The sequence below is a fragment of the Homo sapiens genome, chromosome 8 (assembly GCF_000001405.40).
Source record: "Homo sapiens chromosome 8, GRCh38.p14 Primary Assembly".
Taxonomy (NCBI): Eukaryota; Metazoa; Chordata; class Mammalia; order Primates; family Hominidae; genus Homo; species Homo sapiens.
Window position 1 is genome coordinate 96,413,173 of NC_000008.11, and position 23,020 is coordinate 96,436,192.

At 40.5% G+C, this 23,020-nt stretch overlaps 1 long non-coding RNA gene and 1 pseudogene across 1 annotated transcript in view; one reads left to right on the plus strand and one right to left on the minus strand.

Annotated features, from left to right (window-relative positions):
* Positions 1-6,601: 6,601 nt before the first annotated feature.
* LOC105375653 (uncharacterized) overlaps positions 6,602-23,020 on the plus strand; it is a 39,647-nt gene continuing 23,228 nt past the window's right edge. Inside the window, exons 1-3 of the long non-coding RNA XR_928432.2 lie at positions 6,602-6,705; positions 12,147-12,335; positions 20,053-20,128. This is a non-coding gene — a long non-coding RNA (uncharacterized LOC105375653). The remainder of the gene's footprint in view (positions 6,706-12,146; positions 12,336-20,052; positions 20,129-23,020) is intronic.
* RNU6-1172P (RNA, U6 small nuclear 1172, pseudogene) lies at positions 17,882-17,988 on the minus strand (annotated as a pseudogene).

Genomic DNA, 23,020 nt, shown 5'->3' on the forward strand with positions numbered 1-23,020 from the left:
AGTCAAAGTCAAATTTATTTTATTAAGACTTCTCTGGAGAGGGAGAGGAAAGTGAGGCAGAAAAAGTGTTCTAAAGGAGAATTAATAAACATGAAAACGGAGTGAACTAAACAGAAAACAAAAACACAGGAGACACTGTCAACAAATCCAAAGGCTAATTCTTTCGTATCACCCAGTTGCCAAGGCTGGAGGGCAGGACTGTAGTGCTATTTTGGCACACTGTAACCTCTGCCTCCCGGGTTCAAGCAATTCTCGTATCTCAGCCTCTGAGTAGTTGGAATTACAGGTGCACACCACTACACTCGGCTAATTTTTATATTTTTAGTAGAGCTGGGGTTTCACCATGTTGTCCAGGCTGGTCTCAGACTCCTGACCTCAAGTGATCCACCTGCCTCTGGCCTCCCAAAGTGCTAGGATTACAGGCGTGAGCCACCGCACCTAGCCCAAAGGCTAATTCTTAAAAAGTTCAACTAAACAGATAAACCTCTCTGAAATCTAATTAAAGAAAAAAGAACAACAACAACAAAAAGACAAGATTGGGAATGAATAAAGAGCCATGGTCTCAGATACAGAAGAGATTTGAACAATTATAAGTATGTATTATATGCTAACTCCATGATAACAAAATTGAAGATCTAAAGGAAATTACCAAAGTTAATCCAAGAAGTGAAAACCTGAATAACTAATTACAGTGGGCCAGATCAGGAAGATGATCAAAGATCTACCATTGAAAAGGGTGTCAGGACAGAGAAGTCCACAGCTCAGTTTTCTAATCTTCAAAGAATAGATAATAGTAATATTTATCAATATATTCTAGACCAAGGAATAAAAATGGAAGCTTCTGAATTTATTTTACAAACCAAGCTTAATTTTACACTAAAACCCTATAAAGACAGCATAAAAAGGAAAATTATAGACCAATACTTATAACTGTAGATGCAAAAATCCTAAATAAAATGTTGACAAATAGAATCTAGTAATGTGGCAAAAAGACTAATACACTAAAGTAAGGAGAATTTATTCTAGTATTACAAAGCTCAACGTCAAGAAACATATCAACATAAGTCTTTTTATCAAAAAATTAAAGATGAAAAACCATATCATTTTATCAGTAGTTTCTGCAGAGGCACTTGATAACATTCAGTAGCTATTCCTATTAAAACTTTAAGTAAAATAAAAATTAGGATTGTTGGAGATAATAAAATCTCTTTATCAAAAACCAAGACAATATTCTAGTTAACAAAACACCAAAAACATTTCAATTAAAATCAGAATCAGACACGAATACCCACTATTACCATTTTAATTCAACATTTTCTTAGAGACTTAGAGAGTCAAACAAATGTAATAAGGTAAGAAAAATAAATGATTAGTGTAAACATTTGAAAGAAGTGACAAAGTATTGGAATTTTTTTTGCTCATGATTCTATCTTTTCTTTTCCAGATTTATGCCTGCTGTTACCATTACTATTTGACATTGTCTTGGATAAGGTTTTTAGAAAATACAATAAGAATATAAAATTGAATCACTGGCATAAATATTTGACAATATTTTCTTTCATTAATCACATGATTGCATTCTTAGAAAACCTAGAAAACTAATTTAAAAAACAAAACAAAACAAAACAAAAAAAGCCCACTCAGATTAGGCCAGGCATGGTGGCTTATGCCTGTAATCTCAGCACTCTGGGAGGCAGAGGCAGGAGGATCACCTGAGGTCAGGATTTCGAGACCAGCCTGGCCAATGTGGCGAAACCTCATCTCTAATAAAAATACAAAAGTTGGCTTGGCGTGGTGGCCCACGCCTGTAATCCCAGTTACTTGGGAGGCTGAGGCAGGAGAATCGCTTGAACCTGGGAGGTGGAGGCTGCAGTGAGCTGAGATCGCAGCACTGCACTCCAGCCTGGGTGACAGAGTGAGACTCCGTCTCAAAAAACAAAAAAACCCAACACTCAGATTAATAAAGACTTCAGTAAGGTGGCAAGGTTCACCAAAATGCATATTAAATTAATCATTTATCTGCTATAGCATATTCATCAAGAAATATATATGAGAAAAATATTTAATTTTAGTGATAAAAATCTATAAAATTTTTTTTGTTTTTGTTTGTTTGTTTTTAGACGGAGTTTCGCTCTTGTCCCCCAGGCTGGAGTGCAGTGGCACAATCACAGCTCACTGCAACCTTCACCTCCCGGGTTCAAGTGATTCTCCTACCTCAGCCTCCTGAGTAGCAGGTACTACAGTCACCTGCCACCATGCCCCGCTAATCTTTGTATTTTGGGTAGAGATGGGGTTTCACCATGTTGGCCAGGCTGGCCTCAAACTCCTGACCTCAAGTGATGCGCCCACCTTGGCCTCCCAAAGTGCTGGGATGACAGGCGTGAGCCACTGTGCCCAGCTAAAATCTATAAAACATTGAGGGATAAATATAAAAGAGAGGTACAGGACTATGTGAAAAACAATCCTATGGGGAAAAAACATAAACAAAATAGGGATACATTTTAATACTATGCAATTTGTTGAGAGGAGTTAATCTCATAAAAAATTTATTCTCCAAAAAATTAAAAACGTAATGCAATCCCAATCATAAACCCAGCAGATTTTTAAATTCTAAGAAAGTTTTGTATTGAAGTACAACATACACAGAAAAAGCAAATCCCTCTGCCAAATAAACAGTTGAAAAAGATGCTCATGCTCATCAGGAGTCAGCAAACTACAAATTAAGTTTACAATGGAATATGGCTTCATGACTATAAGACTACAAAAAAATTAAAACGAGGGGTAGCAACGGTTGCTACTAGGGATGAGGGTAAAAAGTACTCCATATTTTGCTGCCGAAAATATGTTTCAGCCTTTTTGAAAGCAATATACACTAAATTTTAAAATACACATGACTTTCAACCCTGGAATCCATTCAATAGAAGTAAAAGCATTGGTATATAAAGATATATATTGTACAACAATCTTGCTTCATTGTTTAGAGGGACAGAAACTTAAAACAGGAAATATCCATCAATAGAGAAAGGGTTGGATAAATTATGAAGGAGCCTCATTATGGATTACAATGCTGCCAACACAAATAATGAATCTGAAACATACCAGGGGACTGAGAGGAACTTCTATGAGATATTTTTGAATGAGAGATAGAAGATGCAGAGAATACATGATCCAATTTTTCCAAAGCAAGCAATGAACCCAACAAAAAACTCAAATATGTAGAGAGAGAGAGAGAGAGAGAGAGAGAGAGAGAAAGTACATGTACTTAAGCATGCATGCATAATCACATATCAGATATTATATGAGCAATAAGAAAATTTAAAAACTGTTAGCATCTGGTTATTTGGGAGTAAAGAACTGGGGGAAAGCTGGTGTAGACACCAGAAAGGACAAAGGTGGGAGGCTTCAGGGAATGTTTGGAGAAGAATGAGTAGTTCAGCTTGCTTCAGGGGTTGAGGTAACCCAAAGCTCACACCAGGCTGCTGGTGGGGTCCTCTCTTGGAGGATACTGAGGTCAGACTCTCAGTCTTAGAGCATATAGGTGCAGGATATATCACAGAGTGCGTCCCACCCACCAACATGTAACCTGGTAAGATCAGGTCATTAAGAATACCAAGGTACCAAAGTCACTGTAGGAAACCTGGGAGCACAGAGCCTAATGTGGTGGTGGGTGAGGCACTCCTACAGGTCTCCTGCCCTGGGGGCCATGGCTGTACAGAACCCAAATAACCCCTTGGGTCCACCTGACCCAGTTTTGCTAGGTTAAAGTCTACAAGTCAACAGTTATTAAAAATATACTCCAATCTTCACTTCCGTCCCTTGACAAACATTAAGGGATCAAATGCATAATCCACATCAACACACCTTAAAATACCCTTACCTGGAGCGATGGAAGCATTTTGGAATGAGACAGAGGTGGTTGGTTGCGCAACATTGTGAATATGCCAAATGCCACTGAATTGTTCCCGTAGAGCTGGTTAACTTTATGTTATGTGAATTTCTCCTCGATAAATTATTTAGAGGAGAAACAAATCCATTTCTCTCCCAACCTAAGACTGCTTTTGTATCTCCCTCTCAACTCTACAAAGAATGCTCCCCAAAGCCCAGCCCACAAGCCAGTCGGTTTAGTTTCCCTCTCTCTTCCTTCCTATGTTTCTTGTCCTGTCTCTCTGTACCTACTCTTATGCCGCATCTTGAAATCCCAGGAGACAGGCTGGCAAACACGGAGTTCTCCATATGGGGGAGGAAGGAGAGACCCTGAGAGGGAAAAGACAGCTTTTTGTTTAACAGAAGGTGAGAATGGGCGAGGCAAAGGCTGGAATTATTCAATCATAAGTTTTGCTTTCCCATATGTGAGCCTAAGGGACTTCTTGGGCTGTCCACCTTCTGCAGCCTGACTTCCCTCATGTCCTGAGTGGCTGTCCCCGCCTGTCACAACAGCTGTTCTTGGCCCACTGAAAGCCAAGGCCCTGCAGTGGTGAGCCCCCTACTAAAGAGTTACTTTTGAATAGGGACAAGGTACCCCTCACTGAAGTGGTTACACTCCTCACCCCCCATCCTGGGGGCTTCTCTTGCCCTCCCCTCCTGGACTCTGGAGGAGGCAGGGAGGGACAGGAGAGCTCCACGCTTGGCAGCACACTGTCTCACAGAACAGGTGGTTTCGTTTATTTTTCTCCATTTGATTTACAAAATTGTACCCTTTACTAAAACAGCCTTGGGGCTTAAGCACAACAAGTACATGCACAATGAGATGACATTTAATTACAGAAATATAAGCAGGAGACATCATGATGGAGCAGCAGAACTTCCTGCGAAATAAACATTCACGCAGCTCCCCATATTTGGCTGCTCAGCAGCTGAGAGAATGAGGAGACAGAAGGGTCTTCTGCTTTCACCTTGATCACCTACAGATGTCAGCAAGGCCAGGGATAGGACCAGTCTGTAGGGTCCAAAATGTACAGCCCCAGTCCCTGCCTCTCTTCACTCTGTACTTTAATGGGGGTAGGGGGTGGAGGGTGGTGGGGGCGCTTCTCTGGGCTTTTTGCTTCCTTTCCCTGCTTGTTTTAGGGAAGCAATCTACTAGTATTACTAGTACCAAATAAAAGTTCTAGGCCGGGTGCAGTGGCTCACACCTGTAATCCCAGCACTTTGGGAGGCTGAGGCAGGTGAATCACCTGAGGTCAGGAGTTTGAGACCAGCCTGCCCAACATGGAGAAACCCTATCTCTATTAAAAATACAAATTAGCTGGGCGTGGTGGTGCATGCCTGTAATCCCAGCTACTCGGGAGGCTGAGGCAGGGAAATTGCTTGAACCTGGGAGGTGGAGGTTGCAGTGAGCCAAGATCGAGCCATTGCACTCTAGCCTGGGCAACAAGAGTGAAACTTCATCTCAAAAAAAAACACAAACAAACAAACGAAAAGGGAGAAAGAAAAGTTCTAGAAGTCATTATGGTATAGTAGAAAGAACTTGCTACCTTTTTGTTTTTTTAAAGACAAACTGACTTTGGTTCAAATCCTGGTTTGTCACTTACGAGCTGTGTTGAACTTCCACAAATCACATAAATTCTCTCAGCTTCCATTCTCTCATCCCTTCTGCAAGGTTGTTGGTTGTAATGACATAACTGGTTTACTGGGAGGCTCATCTCACTAGGGGCATAAATATGAAATGGTTTTATTTTTTCTGCAACTGCCCCCAGTGTGCTTATGTCAAATACCCCTATTTTTCACCGGGTAACATCTCCTTTCTTGACAGCTCAGCCCCATTCCATAACATTGCAGTCACCTTTTTTTTTTTTTTTTTTTGAGACGGAGTCCTGCTCTGTCGCCCAGGCTGGAGTGCAGTGGCGGGATCTCGGCTCACTGCAAGCTCCGCCTCCCGGGTTCACGCCATTCTCCTGCCTCAGCCTCCCAAGTAGCTGGGACTACAGGCGCCCGCCACTACGCCCGGCTAATTTTTTGTATTTTTAGTAGAGACGGGGTTTCACCGTTTTAGCCGGGATGGTCTCGATCTCCTGACCTCGTGATCCGCCCGCCTCGGCCTCCCAAAGTGCTGGGATTACAGGCGTGAGCCACCGCGCCCGGCCTGCAGTCACCTTTTAATACTAAACCGTTACTTCTGATCCTTAAGACTCTGCCCTGTTTGTTCATTTTCAAATTTCAATCTTCTACCCAATCCAAATATTTTTCCTACCCTCCTAAGATTGTCACTATCAATATTTTATCAATACAGAATGCCCAGTGAAATTAGAATTTTAGATAGTGTTTAACGTAAGTGTCATATGATACTTTTATTTGTATTTGCGAATTCTTGCAATCCTACACCTTCCCCCAGCGGCGCAGGCTACTACTTTGGCTTTAGAGAAGTGGTTTGCAGCCTCAGCTGCTCATTAAAAATGTCAGTGCCTAGGTTCCACTCCAGACCAGTTAAACCAGAATATCTGGGCTCATGAAGAATTCCTGAAAGCTTCCCCATGTGATTCTCATGGGCAACCCAGGCTGACAGGACGGCCAGACCCTGGGAGGGCGGCCTGGCCTCCTCAGCTTCCCCCAACACCTCCCCCTTCCCAGCATGCACTGCGCTGGTGTTGGGGGCAGGAGGAGAAAGACAGGCAGGTCTCATCTTATTTGGATGCCTGTTGTAAGCTTGTAATCCGCTCTGTTGGCCACCACAGCTCCTCCATTTGATGACGACGGGCCATTTGTTCCAGGGTATGGCAGGCGTCCAAATATGGGCACTTCTGTGAAACCCGTTTGTTGGTTCCTCGGAGGGCCCTGTGAGGGTCTTCCTGCTGCTTCGCCTGTGGTGTGGGAGATCAGTATTCAGCTTGCTCTCCCCAGATCAGCCCTCTGACGGAAGCAGCCCTGAGCCCCTAACAGCCTCTTGCTGCCAAGGGTCCCCTCCCTGACTAGGCAGCCTTGTTGGGGTGTGTGGAATACTGGGGTTGTCTGTCACAGGTTACAGACAGGGATGGAGGGAACTAGGGAAGGCATTTCTCCTTCCAAGCTTTGGTATGTCACGGAAACCTGAGTGTCCTGGAAGACTCAGAACCTCTGCTGGTTCACGGGCCTGGCAACGTTCCTATGCTAGACAGCCGCAGCGCCACATTAGTATAGGCAGAGGCTCAGTTTAGTCTCCTCCCTTAAGTAAATTCATAGCACCCCCTCCCACCTCCACCCTCCTCGACCTTAGGGAGATGCAGGCCTAACACAAAGAGACTGTCTTCTCCATACTCCCAGTTCACCTGCAGGAGAAAGGAGTTGGGGGGTTCGTGTTTGTGGGGCTGAAACTGGAATTTCTCAGCAAGCCCTGTGGGGACTTAGCTTGTCCCAAACACTGTAGTTCTCTGACCTCTTAGAAGGGAGTATCTAGCACCTCTTGTTCTCAGATGAGAGCCCTAGTTCCCACTTCGACAGTCCTGCACCCACCAGCATGGTTCACTCCTAATAACTGATGTTTGTTGAAATTTTCTATGTGCCAGACACTGTGCTCAGCTGCTTCATTCATTATCTCCTTTAATCTTCAAAGCAGGGAAGGGAGATAGGAATCACTTTTCTATTTTTCAGATAAGTAAATTTTGGCTAAGAGAGTTCAAATAATTTGCTAAAGGTCATACAGCTAATGAGAATCAGAGCTCAAATTTGACTCCAAAAGCCTTGCTTTCACCGTTATAATTTATAATATTTCCTCCCACTGATGTAATTTATGAATAAAACTTATCTTAGTGTCTGGTACACAGCAGGCACTCCACAAATATTCATTCTCTTCCTAGATAACACTCAAACTAGAAATCAATCGTCAAGTACAATTTTATAGTATTCAATCCGAGTTACTTAGAAGCAGTTTAAAGCTTTGTTTCATCATCCCCATGTAGTTATCTATTAACTAATTAGCTCTTTTTAAAAACCTTCCCAGAGCAAGTAAGGATCACTCTTTTTTTTTTTTTTTAATTTTACTTTAAGTTCTGGGATACACGTGCAGAATGTGCTGGTTTGTTACATAGGCACACATGTGCCATGGTGGTTTGCTGCACCTATCAACCCGTCATCTAGGTTTTAAGCCCCGCATGCATTAGGTATTTGTCCTAATGCTCTCGCTCTCCTTGCCCCTAACCCCCTAACAGGCCTCAGTGTGTGATTTTCCCCTCCCTGTGTCCATGTGTTCTCATTGTTCAACTCCCACTTATGAGGAAGAACATGCAGTGTTTGGTTTTCTGTTTCTGTTTGCTACGAATGATGGCTTCCAGCTTCATCCATGTCCCTGCAAAGTACATGAACTCATTCTTTTTTATGACTGTGTAGTATTCCATGGTGTATATGTGCCACAAGGATCACGCTTTAAAAACACCTAATATGTGCCAGGCACTGTGCTAGTATTAAAGTTAGAGGTTAAATACTTGTGTTAGTTCCCCGTGGCTGCCGTAACAAATGACCACAAACTGGGTGGCTGAAAACAGTGGAAATTTACTCTCTCATAGAACTGGAGCCCAGAAGTCTGAAATCAAGGTGATATCCAGAGTCAAGCTCCCACTGAAGGCTCTTGGGAAATATCCTTCCTTGCCTCTTCCACTTTCTGATGACTTCAGGGTATCCTTCTAATCTCTGGCCTTCTCCCTGTATCTGTGTCTTCTTCTTTTTCTGTCTTGTCTAAGGATTCTTGTCATAAGATTTAGGGTCCACACAAATAATTCAAGATCCTTAACTTATATCTACAAAGACCTTTTTCCAAATAAGGTCACCTTCACAGGTTACAGGTGTTAGGATATGAATTTATCTTTTGGAGGGCCACCATTAACCCAGTACAAAGTGATAGCATGCTGTGTTGAAGGAGCTTGGGTTTGGCCTTTGGAGTCAAAACATGTGTTCAAATCCCATCTATGCCCCCAACTCACTTGGGCAAATCACTCAACTTTTCTGACACATAAGTTTGGGTCTTCTGAGAAACAAACACCATGTAGAATTAGACATGCAAGAGATTTATTGGAAGAAAATTCCTGTGAAGGATAAAAGGCAAAGAGCAGGAATGGGCAAGGACAGTCTTAGACTCCAAGGCGGGTCTGACATCTGTGAAAGAAGAGTGGTAAGGAAGGAGGATTGTGTAGGAAAAGCCCCAGATTTTTCTGAGACATTTTCAGACAGGCCAATGGGAAGTCCCTGAGTGAACATTGCCCATTAGATAAGACCTGCATCCTCCAGGAATGGGCCATCTCTGATGCCCCAGCTGTGTTCAGTCACTGGCCAGCAGCAGCCCAGGGAAAGCAATGCCTTAGTTCAAATTTGGGAATAATTCTAGAGTAACAGTGGGGCTGTCAACTAACTATACTCTCCACAGAAGATTCTCTGGAAGGAGATTTGAGCAGAGTATTTTCATGGCCACCACATTAGTATTTTCTTTTATGTTTTTTAAATTTCTAAAATAGTAATAATAATACCTACTTGGCCACAATGCTGTAAAGACTAGACACATGTAAAGTGCCTAAGGTGGTCCTGGCACACAGTAGATCCATTGTAGCTCACCTTCAGGATGGTCCCCAGTGATCCCTGGTTCTTGGTAATCACTCTTGTATAACCGCCTCCTGTTGAGTGTGGGCTGGATTTAATAACTCACATCTAACAAGTAGAACAAGACAGAAGTGACAGTGTGTGGCTTGTACAATGCATAAAGAACCCATCAAAAAGTCAGAATTCTCTTCACTTAGAGAAGTAGGAAAAGGCTATAATGTGTAACCATGAATCTCTGACATAGCATGTAATCTAATACTTAGATGTGAGGGCAGGTTTAATGGATGACTTCCAGGAAATATTTTCTTATTCTTAAGAAAAGAATTCTTCTTTTCAAGAAATATCAAATATTTAAGGAACTGACACCAGTCCTTCTCAAACTTTTCCAAAATATTGAACAGGAGGAAATACACCCTAACTCATTCTAGGTATTCCAATTTCCCCGTATCCTTGCCAATGCTTGTTTTTCGATTTTGTTTGTTTTGTTTTTGATAATTTCCATCTGAGTGGATGTGAAGTTGTATCTCATTATGTCTTTTATTTGCGTTTCCTTAATGATTAGTGTGTCTTTTCATGTGCTTATTGGCCATTTGTGTAGCTTTGAAGAAATGTCTATTCAAGTCCTTTGCCCATTCGTATATCCAGTTGTTTGTTTTGTTTTTGTTAAGTTGTGGGAGTTCCTTAAATAGTTTGGATATTACTCTCTTATCAGATATATAATTTGCAACATTTTCTCCCATTCTGTGGGTTGCCTTTCCACTCTGTTTATATGGCCTATGATACATAAAAGGTTTTAATTTTGATGAAGTACAATTTATCAATTTTATCCTTTGTTGTCTGTGCTTTTGGTGTCAAAGCCAAGAAATCATTGCCAAATCCAGTGTCAAGAAGCTTTTCCCAATGTTTTCTTCTAAGAATTTTATAGCTCTTGTATTTAAGTCTCTGATTCATTTTAAATTAATTTTGGTATATGGATGAAAGGTAAGGGTCCAACTTCATTATTTACATGTGGATATCCAGTTTTGAATTAGTTATTCTAAATGAATTTAGACTTATGGAGAAACTCACTGCATTATTTTTATTTTTCCCTGAAGATTAGCACAAACTTTATCAGAGTCTGTGGAATGGTCTTTGGTAACCCCAGTCTAGGGAGAGACAATGGTGGCCTGAAATATAGCAGAACAGAGTAGGGTGGGAGAAGAAGGGCTTAATTTGAGAGTTTCTCTGATGCAGAATTGATAGGATGTCATGGCTGGCAGAAAATGGCCTGTGAAGTCAGGGCACAAGGTCTGTTCAATTGATAGGGCAGATCATATTTTCTTTAACAGTGCAACATAGAGAAAATATTCTAAAAGCTGGAAGCCACAGTACAATTTCTCTCAAGGAGCAATTTGGGTTTAAAAAATATCTTGGTTTATTCATCGGGGTGGGAAATAAAACATAAACCTTGCTGTAAAGAAGAAGATAAGAAAAAGGAAGGCTGAACTAGTTTGCAAAGGAAATGAGAATGTTCTGGTTTTGCATAGCAGCTGGAGAAGAAGAGGGTGAGGGGCCCAGGAAGTGAGGGAAAATAAACAAGATGCAGGGAAGTTGGAGCCAGAGTTGTTGAGCATGGTGGTGGAAACTGGTGACTAAGGGGAAAAGAAAGCCAGATTGGAGGGGGAGCATAGAGACTTTGGAAAACAGGCTAATCTTTTATGTTGAGTTTTTGTTGTTCTATGTGTTATGTAGCCATCTCCATTGTCTTCAACTTCCAGTAAACATCTGCCACATACTCTGCCTTGTGGTACTGGTTCTTTGGGAAGGTTAAGTCAAAGAAACAAGGACTCAGTACCTTTATAGGTACAAGGAAGAGAGAACAATGAGGTGAGATGCAAAAGGGAGCTGTTTCCTTCCACAACTATTAAACAAAACCTTGCACTTTCCAAGATTGAACCAATTTGAACGAGTCCCTGTGGTGCAAGGAACACTAGGTGCTGATGGGCTTTTCTTCTTTGGTTACTCCCTGTCTTCACCCATTTTGTGCTGCTATGACAGAATGCCACAGATTGGGTAATTTATTTATTTATTTATTTTTATTTTTATTTTTATTTTTTTTGAGACAGAGTCTCACTCTGTCACCCAGGCTGGAGTGCAGTGGTGCGATCTCAGCTCACTGCAAGCTCCGCCTCCCGGGTTCATGCCATTCTCCTGCCTCAGCCTCCTGAGTAGCTGGGACTACAGGTGCCCGCCACCACACCCTGTTAATTTTTTGTATTTTTAGTAGAGACGGGGTTTCAGCATGTTAGCCAGGATGGTCTTGATCTCCTAAACCTCGTGATCCACCCACGTTGGCCTCCCAAAGTTCTGGGATTACAGGCATGAGCCACCACGCCCGGCCCAGACTGGGTAATTTATACAGGAGAAATGTATTTGGCTCACAGATCTGGAGGCTGGGAAGTCCAAGGGCGTAGTGCTGGCTTCTACTCAGCATCTGGTGAGGGCCTTCTTGCTGTGTCATTCCATGGTAGAAGACAGAAGAGCAAGAGAACAAGAGGGAGTCAAGCTTGTTATAACAAGCCCACTGTCAAGATGACTAACCCATTCCCTTGATAACAACTTTAATTTATTCATGAAGGCAGAACCTTCATGACCTAATCTCCTCTTCCTAGGTCCCATGGCCCAACACTGTTTCACTGGGGATTAAGTTCCTAACACAGAAAATTTGGAAGACACATTCAACCATAGGACTCCCCATCTCTGAAATAATCACTGAGACGAAGAGGTGAGGTTATACTGACACCAACAGGGGCAGGGTCAACCCACTCAAATCATGGCTTCTACACATGGAGGAAGGGCAGGTGAGTGTGCATGGATGCTGGAGAGACAACTGCAATGTTCACTTCATGGGTTTGAGGCAGTTTTTTTTAAATTAGTACATAGTATGTATACATGTATTTATAGAGTAGATGAGATATTTGATACAAATGTACAATGTATAATAATCACATCAGGGTAAATGAAGTATCCACACCTCAAGCATTTATCGTTTCTTTGTACGACAAACATTCCAATTGTACTCTTTTAATTGTTTTAAAATGCACAATAAATTACTGTTTAGTGTAGTCACCCTGTTGTGCTATCAAATACTAGATCTTATTTAATCTTTCTAACTATATTTTTGTAACCTTTAATCACCACTGCACCCCCCTCCCCCAACACTACCCTGCCCAGCCTCTGGCAACCATCATTCTACTCTCCATCTCCATGAGTTCAGTTATTTTAATTTTTAGCTCCCACTAATGAGTGAGCATATGTGAAGTTTCTCTTTCTGTGCCTGGCTTATTTCATTGAACATAAGGACCTCCAGTTCCATCCCTGTTGTTGCATATGACAGGATCTCATTCTTTTTTATGACTGAATAGTACTCCATTGTGTATATGTATCACTTTTCTTTCTCCATTCATCTGTTGATGGATACTTAGATTGCCTCCAAATCTTGGCTATTGTGAATAGTGCCACAATAAATGTGGAAGTGCACATATTTCTTCAAAATACTGATTTCCTTTCTTTGGGGTATATATCTGGCAGTGGGATTGCTGGATTATGTAGTAACTATATTTTTAGTGTTTTTTAAGGAACTACCATACTTTTCTTCATAGTGGTTGTACTAGTTTACATTCCCACCAACAGTGTATCAGGGTTTCCTTTTCTCCACATCCTCAGAAGCATTCATTATTGTCTTTTGGATAAAAACTATTTTTACTGTGGTGAGGTGATCTCTCATTGTAGCTTTGATCTGCATTTATCTGATGATCACTAATGTTGAGCACCTTTTTATACACCTGTTTGCCATTTTTATGTCTCCTTTAGAGAAATATCTATTCTGCTCTTTTGCCCATTTTTAATCAGATTGTTAGATTTTGTCCTATAGAGTTCTTTGGGCTTCTTATGTATTCTGGTTATCAATCCCTTGTCAGATGGGTAGTTTGCAAATATTTTCTCCCATTCTGTGGGTGGTCTATTCACTTTGTTGATGTTTCCTTTGCTGTGCAGAAGCTTTTTAACTTGATGTGATCCCATTTGTCCATTTTGCTTTGGTTGCCTGTGCTTGTGGGGTATTACTCAAGGAATCTTTGCCCAGTCCAATGTCCTGGAGAGTTTCCCCAATGTTTTCTTTTAGTTGTTTCATAGTTTGAGGTCTGAGATGTAAGTGTTTAGTCCATTTTGATTTGATTTTTACATATGGCATGAGATAGGGATCTAGTTTCATTCTTTTGCAGATGGATATCCAGTTTTCCCAGCACCATTTATTGAAGAGACTATGCTTTCCCCAATGTATATTCTTGGCACTTTTGTCAAAAATGAGTTCACTGTAGATATGTGGGTTTATTTCTGGGTTCTGTATTCTGTTACATTGGTCTGTGTGTCTGTCTTTACGCCAGTACTATGTCATTTTGGTTACCATAACCATAGCTCTGTGGTATAATTTGAAGTCAGGTAATGTGATTCCTCCCATTTTGTTCTTTTTGCTCAGTGTATTAGTCTGTTCTCACACTGCTAATAAAGACATACCTGAGACTGGGTAATTTATAAAGGAAAGAGGTTTAATTGACTCACAGGTCCACATGACTGGGAAGGCCTCACAATCATGGTGGAAGGCAAAGGAGGAGCAAAGTCACCTCTTACATGGCAGCAGGCAAGAGAGCATGTGCAGGGGAACTCCCCTTTATACAACCATCAGATCTCATGAGACTTATTCACTATCATGAGAACAGCATGGGAAAGACCTGCCCCCATGATTCAATTACCTCCCACCAGGTCCCTCCCACAACATGTGGGAATTATGGGAGCTACAATTCAAGATGAGATTTGGGTGAGGACACAGCCTAACCATATCATTCAGGATAGCTTTGGCTATTCTGGGTCCTCTGTGGTTCCACATAAATTTTAGGATTGTTTTTTCTACTTCTGTAAAGAATGTCATTGGTATTTTGATAGAGATTACACTGAATCTGTAGATTGCTTTTGGTAGTGTGAATATTTTAACAATATTGATTCTTCCAATCCATGAACATGGAATATCTTTTCATTTTGTATGTGTGTGTGTGTGTGTGTGTGTGTGTGTCCTCTTCAATTCCTTGCATCAGTGTTTTATAGTTTCTATTGTAAAGACATTTCACTTCTTTGGTTATGTTTGTTCCTAGGTAGCTTATTTTATTGGTAGCTATTATTAATAGGATTAGTTTCTTCATTTCTTTTTCAGATTATTCACTGTTGGAATATAGAAAGGCTACTAACCTTTGTTTGTTTATTTTGTATCCTGCAACTTTACTGAATTTGTTTATCAGTTCAAATAGTTTTTTGGTGGAGTTTTTGGGTTTTTCCAAATATAAGATTATATCATCTGCAAACAAGGATAATTTGACTTCTTCCTTTCCAATTTGGATGTCTTTCTTTTGTCTGATTGCTCTAGCTAGAACTTCCAGTACTATGTGGAATAACAGTGGTGACAGTGGGCATCCTTATCCTCTTCCAGATCTTAGGAGGAAAGGCTTTCAGTTTTTCCTTATTCAATGTAATACTAGCTGTGGGTCTGTCATATATAGTTCTTATTATGTTGAGGTATGTTCCTTCTATATGCAGTTTTTCAAGGGTTATTACCATGAAGGGATATTAAACTTTGTCATCTACTTTTTCAGCATTACTTGAAATAATCATATGATTTTTTTTCCTTCATTCTGTTGATAATGATGTATTACATGGATTGATTTGCATATATTGAATTATCCTTGCATCTCTGAGATAAATCGCACTTGATCTTGATGAACGATCTTTTTAGTGTGTTGTTAAGTTTGGTTTGCTAGTATTTATTTTGTTGATAATTTTTGCATTAATACTCACCAGGGATATCTTTGGTGTTTTTAGAAAACTAAAAAAAATCATTTTTTTGGATGCATCTTTGTCTGGTTTTGGTATCAGGGTAATACTGGCCTCATAGAATGAGTTGGAAGTATTCCCTCCTCTTCTTTTTTTTTTTTTTAATAGCTTGGGTAGGATTGATATTAGATCTTCTTTAAATGCTTCAGAAAATTCAGCAGTGAAGCCATGGGGTCTCAGGGTATTCTTTACTGGGAGACTTTTTATTATGACTTCAATCTCATTACTTGTTATTAATCTGTTCAGGTTTTAGATTTTTTCATGGTTCAATCTTGGTAGGTTGTATGTGTCTAGGAATTTGTCCATTTCTTCTAGGTTTTCTAATTTATTGGCATATAGTTGCTCATAGTTGTCTCTAATGATCCTTTGAATTTCTGTGATATCAGTTGCAGTGTCTCCTTTTTCCTCTCTGATTTTATTTATTTAGGTCTTCTTTCTTGGTTTACTAGCCTGGCTAAAGGTTTGTCAGTTTTGTTTATCTCTTTTTTTAAAAAAACAAGTTTTGTTTCATTGATTTTTTGTATTGTTTTATTCATTTCTATGTCATTTATTTCTGCTCTGATTTTTATTACTTATTTTCTTCTACAAATTTTAGGTTTGGTTTGCTCTTGCTTTTATAGTTTTTAAAGATGCATTGTTAGGTTGTTTGTGTAAGTTTTTCTGCTTTTTTGATGTAGATGTTTATTGCTACAAACTTTCCTCTTACTACTGTTTTTGTTGTATCATATAAGTTTTTGTACTTATTGTTTCCATTTTTTGTTTCAAGAAATTTTAAAATTTTCTTCTTATTTTCTTAATTGACCCACTGGCCATTCAAGAGCATATTGTTTAATTTCCATGTGCTCGTATAGTTCCCAATGTTCCTCATGTTATTGATTTCTAATTTTATTACATTGTGGTCAGAGAAGATGCAATATAATTTCAATTTTTTTGAATTTTTATAAAGACTTGTTTTGTGGCCTAACATATGGTCTATCCTTGAGAATGATCCATGAGGTGAGGAGAGGAATGTGTATTCTGCAGCCATTGGTTGAAATGTTCTGTAAATATCTATTAGGTCCTTGTGGTTAATGGTGCAGATTAAGTCTGATGTTTTGTTGTTTGTCTTCTGTCTGTACGATCTGTCCAATGCTGAAAGTAGGATGTTGAAGTCTCCAGATATTATTGTATTGGGGCCTATCTCTCTCTCTTTGGCTGTAATGATATTTGCTTTATATATCTTGGTCCTCCAATGTTGAGTGCTTATATATTTACAATTGTTATATCCTCTTGCTGAATTGACCCCTTTACAATTACATAATGACCTTCTTTGTCTCTTCTTATAGTTTCTGTCTTAAAATCTATTTTGTCTGATATAAGTATAGCTACTTCTGCTCTTTTTTGGTTCCCATTGGCATAGAATATATTTTTCCATTTCTTTGTGTGTCTTTATACATAAAGTGTGTTCCTTGTAGGCAACAGATCATGGGGTTTTGTTTGTTTGTTTGTTTGTTTTTTGAGACAGAGTCTCACTGTCTTGCCCAGGCTGGCATGCAGTGGCACAATCTTGGCTCATTGCAACCTCTGCCTCTCAGACTCAAGTGATCCTCCTACCTTGGCCTCCTGAGTAGCTGGGACTATAGACGCATGCTACCATGCCTGGCTAATTTTTGAATGTTTTGTAGAGACAGGGTTTTGCCATGTTGCCCAGGCTGGTCTTGAACTCCCGGGCTCAAGCAATCCACCTGCCTCAGGCTCCCAAATTGCTGGGATTACAGGTGTGAGCCACTGCACTCGGCTCAGATCATGTTTTTTAATTCATTCAGCCACTCTATACATTTTGATTGGAGAGTTTAGTCCATTTATATTCAATGTTATTATTGATAAGGACTTACTTATCGATTTTTTTCCTGGTTGTTGTGTGATCTGTCCTTCCTTCCTTCCTTCCTTCCTTCCTTCCTTCCCCCCTCCCTCCCTCCCTTCCTCCCTCCCTTCCTTCCTTCCATCTGTCCGTCCATCTGTCTTCCTTTTTGTGAAGGTGATTTTTTTTTTCTGGTGGTGTGTTTTAATTTCTTGCTTTTTATTTTTTGTGTATCTAATGTAGGCTTTTTTAATTTGAGGTTACCATGAAGCTTGCTAATAATGTCTTATAACCAATTATTTTAAACTAATGACAACTCAACATTGATAGCAAAAACGAACAAGCAAAGACAAAACTAATACAAAGTCTACATTTTAACTTCATCACCCCTACTTTTTAACTTTTAGTTGTTTCTATTTATATCTTACACTGTCTGTCTTGAAAAGCTGTTATCGTCATCATAGTTGATAGGTTCATCTTTTGGTCTTTCTACTCAGTGCATGAGTAGTTTACACACCACAATTACCTTGTCATAATATTTTGTGTTTATCTCTATACTTAGTATTATCAGTGAGTTTTGTACCTTCAGATGTTTTCTTATTGCTCATTAACAAGAACATGAATCACAAATGAATTTTTGTGAACATGAATTTGCATGTCATCCTTGTGCAAGGGCCATGGTAATCTTCTCTGTATCATTCCAATTTTAGTATATGTGCTGCTGAAGAGAGCATTGAGCCAGTTTTTACAATATTAAAGTGAGATTTGGAAGACCTAGAGATGTCCAGGTTGCTAATGCTTGGGTTGTACAAGATAAGAAATACTAAAGTCCAGTAAAAGAAAAAAAAAGCATATTGGCTTGATGTTCTTTGATTATAGTGTTTGAGCGTTTTTCAACCATCCTGATTTTAAAATATCAACTTCAGTATATTCATGGAAACAAGGTACAGTTGTTGAGAGCCAGTGTTTCAGGGTTCAAATCCCAGCTTTACCCCTTACTTTTACTTCTGTGATTCAGTCTTCTCATCCATACAATGAAGGTAATAATAATGCTTGCCTCATAACATTATGATATGGTTTGGCTCTGTGTCCCCACCTGAATCTCATCTTCAATTGTAATCCCCATGTTTCAAGGGAGGGACCTATAATCCCCACATGTTGAGGGAGGGAAGCAATTGGATCACGGGGGCGGTTCCCCCATCTTGTTCTCACAATAGTGAGTTATCATGAGATCTGATGGTTTTATAAGTGTCTGGCATTTTGCCTGCTTGCACTTCTCTCTCCTGCTGCCATGTGAAGAAGGTCCTTGCTTTGCCTTCACCTGCCACCATGGTTGTAAGTTTCCTGAGGTGTTCTCAGCCATGTGGAACTGTGAATCAATTAAACCTCTTTTCTTTATAAATTACCCAGTCTCAGGAAAGTTCTTGATAGCAGTGTGAGAATGGACTAATACAGAGAATTGGTACTGCGGAGAGTGAGGTACTGCTATAAGGATACCCAAAAATGTGGAACCAACTTTGTAACAGGCAGAGGTTGGAACAGTTTCGAGGGCTCAGAAGAAGACAGGAAGATGTGGGAAAGTTTGGAACTTCCTAGAGACTTGTCGAATGGTTTTGACCAAAATGCTGATAGTGATATGGACAATGAAGTCCAGGCTGAGGTGGTCACAGATGGAGATGAGGAACTTATTGGAAACTAGAGCAAGGGTCATTCTTGCTATGCTTTAGCAAAGAGACTGGTGGCATTTTGCCCCTGCCCTAGAGATCTGTATAACTTTGAACTTGAGAGAGATGATCTGAAATTGGAACTTCCATTTAAAAGGGAAGCAAAGCATAAAAGTTTGGAAAATTTGTAGTCTGACAATGTAATAGAAAAGAAAAACCCATTTTCTGGGGAGAACTTCAAGCCAACTGCAGAAATTTGCGTAAGTAACAAGGAGTCAAATGTTAATCACCAAGACAATGGGGAAAATATCTCCAGGGCCTATCAGAGGTCTTCACAGTATCCCCTCCCATCACAGGTTGGGAAGCCTAGGAGGAAAAAATGGTTTAATGGGCCAGGCCCAGGGCCTTGCTGCTTTGTGTCATCTCAGGACTTGGTTCCCTGCATCCCAGTCATGGCTAAAAGGCGCCAACGTACAACTCAGGCCATTGCTTCTGAGGGTGCAAGCCCCAAGGTTTGGCAGCTTCCATGTGGTGTTGGGCCTGCATGTGCACAGAAGTCAAGAACTGAGGTTTGAGAAACTCTGCCTAGATTTCAGAGAATGTATGGAAATGCCTGGATGTCCAGGCAGAAGTCTGCAGGGGCAAAGCCCTCATGGAGAACCTCTGCTAGAGCAGTGCAAAGAGGAAATACAGGGTTGGAGCCCCCACACAGGGTCACCACTGGGGCACTGCCTAGAGGAGCTGTGAGAAGAGGGCCACCATCCTCCAGACCCCAGAATGGCAGATCCACCAACAGCTTGCACTGTGTGTCTGGAAAAGCCTCACACACTCAACACCAGCCATGAAAGTAGCCAGGGAGTGGGGCTGTACCCTGTAAATCCACAGGGATGAAGTTGCCCAAGGCCATGGGAGCCCACCCTTTGCATCATCATGCCCTGGATTTGAGACATGGAGTCAGAGTAGATTATGTTGGAGCTTTAAGATTTAATGACTGCCCCACTGCATTTTGGACTTGCATAGGACCTGTAGTCCCTTTGTTTTGGCCAATATCTCCCATTTGGAATGGATGTATTTACCCAATGCCTGTACCTTCATTGTACCTTGGAAGAAATAAACTTGTTTTTGATTTTACAGGCTCATGGATGGAAGGGACTTGCCTTGTCTCAGATGAGACTTTGGACTGCAGCTTTTGACTTAATGCTGAAATGCGGTAGGACTTTGGGGGACTGTTGGGAAGGCATGATTGGTTTTGAAATGTGAGGACATGATATTTGGTAGAGGTCAGGGATGGAATGATATGGTTTGGCTCTGTGTCCTCACACAAATCTCATCTTGAATTGTAATCCCCATGTATTGAGGGAGGGACCTGTAATCCCCACATCTTGAGGGAAGAACGTGATTGGATCATGGGGGTGGTTTCCCCTATCCTGTTCTCATGATAGTGAATGAGTTCTCATGAGATCTGATGGTTTTATAAGTGTCTGGCATTTCCCCTGCTTGCACTTCTCTCTCCTGCTGCCATGTGAAGAAGGTCCTGGCTTCCCCTTCCCCACCATGATCATAAGTTTCCTGAGGTGTCCCCAGCCATTTGGAACTGTGAGTCAATTAAACCTTGTTCCTTTATAAATTACCTAGTCTTAGAAAGTTCTTTATAGCAGTGTGAGAATGAACTAATACACATTAGTAGCAAGATTAAGTGACTAAATATTCATAAAACCCTCAGAACAACGTCTGACACATGGTGTTTATTAAATAAAAGATTAAAAACTAGAATCTTTTGAGGTCTCTAATTGTCTCCTAGATTTTATCCCTCTTCCCAGAACATATCTGCCTCCTTCCTCTCCTGACCCAGAAGAAAAAGTCTACTGAAAAGCAGAATGCAATCAGTTGACTCTCCCTAGCCTCCACAAAATAGATTCATGTCCAAGGACCAAGAATAAATAATTGGCCTGATATTGATTTGGTTTTAGGGTCATTCTTTCTTTCCAGTGACTAAGTTGTTGTATTTAGAGCACTAAGAAATCAGTGATTTACAAAATGGTGTTTTGATTGTGGAGTGTAAAAGAATGGATACCCTCGTAAAATGGCAAAGTTAGTGGAACGGTATTTTGGCTGGGCAGAATGTTTCAGGTTATCCCAGGCATTTAAAATCACAGGTAATGATTCTGTCTTAAATCCTTGATTGAAACGTTTTTTCCCACTCAGAAATTCAGACAATAATTCAGACAATGTACTGTGATGTTTATTACAGTATATTTTATAATAGTGAAAAATTGAAAATAATTTATATGCTCAACAATAATAGGGACTAGTAAATGAATTATGGTGCAGCCACATACTAAAATTATGCAGCCACTGAAAGATGTATTTCAAAGAGCTTTCAATGACAGTTCAATGTTTTCAGTATAATGTTAAGCGAAAAGAGCAAGACACAAAACAGCGTAAAGTGCAGAATCTCAATTTTGTGACAAATATACACACTCACCCAGATGCTCAAAGGAAAAACAAAAAGACTAGAAGAATATATGTCAGAAGCATACTGGCGGTTGCCCCTGGGAGGTGAGATACTAGATGGTTTTAATTTTTTCCTTATATTTTATATGCATATCCCTAAATGACAGATCTTGACAAAGGTCCACACATTCCTGCTACTGAGATCCCTGAGCTGCCCTATATTCTTCACATCCTGTCTGTCAAACTCTCTTTCCATTATGTGTGATTCCCTTGTCTCCACTCAGGAATTTTCCCTTTTTCTTAAGAGGGAAGATACGGTTTCAGTTGCTTGAAAATAACAGAATATTATTAGTACTATGCCCTAATTGCTTCAGATGCATATATTTCGTATCCTCAACTAAATTGTTAGTTCTTTGACACTATGGACTAGGTCTTTTAGTTTTCTCTGAGTTCTTGGTACATAGGAACTCAAATACTGGTGTTTCCCTTGAATAGGCTGGGAGCCTAAAAAGGCACATAACAAACGTCTTCTAAATGAATACAGGTGACTGAGAGGCGTAAGTCGTGGGGAAGGTGATACACAACAAATAGCATATCCTCCCTAATCAGCTGCTGAGGCACATGACCAGGGCTTTTCGAGAGCAGAGCTAGTTTTTAGGGGAAGAAAAAGTCCATGAGTGCTGATCCTGTTATAAAAACACTCTTTCCCCTGCTAGTCATTAACCTGTAAGCCCAAGTCACTCAGAGAGTGCATCAGCAATGCATGCCCTGCAGCAGAATCCCTCTCCAGTTGAATTTAACTGAGGCTTGGATGGCATAAACAAGGATCAATCCTGGGGACGTTTTAAGGGGACTTTCTGAAGTCAGAAAATGCACACCTGCTTACATACTGAAACCTTCCAACTAGGCTTCTTTTTTTAATGAAACGGTTTCATAGATAATGTCTATTTTGTGCAATAAGTTTCTTTACAAGCATCATGCAATATCTATATCACCCCGCTAAAAGGAAATTGAAACAAAGGTAAGTATCACTGCTTCTACACTGCACTTGGTAGTCTGTCCTTCGTGTCCATGTGTCTGTCTCCTTTGGTCTCTGCCTGTCTTTCTCCAACTCTCTTTTTGGGTTTTGGTGCTGCTCCCTTGGCCAAGAATGATTCTGCCCATATTTCTTCCTGCCATCACCTGTTCTCTGCTTAGATGCCACCCCCTCCAGAGTCCCTTTTATGAACCCCCATCCCCACGCAAACTTCTCCCCTTCCCTCAGCCTAGACTGGCTAAGATGTCCTCCTGTGTGTCTCCTTTGCACTCTGCTCTCACTCTTCACAGCATGTTTTACACTGAATGGTAATGGTCTGCTCATCTGTCTTCCCACTAAAAGATCTGCCTCATGCAAACTGCATGAGGCCAGCGACTGGCCCTCATTCACCCCTGCATTCACTGTGTCAGCATATGGTATAGAGTTCAGTCATTCACTCAACAGACATTTGCTGAATGCGTCCTATGTGCCAGGCTCTGTACTAGGTGCTGGAAACAGACCATGAATAAAAACACAGTATCTAGATTACTTACCTTCTAGCTTGGAAGACAGATGTGAATCTAATAAACATACAAATAAATATTATTAAACATCCATTATAGTGCCAAGCTC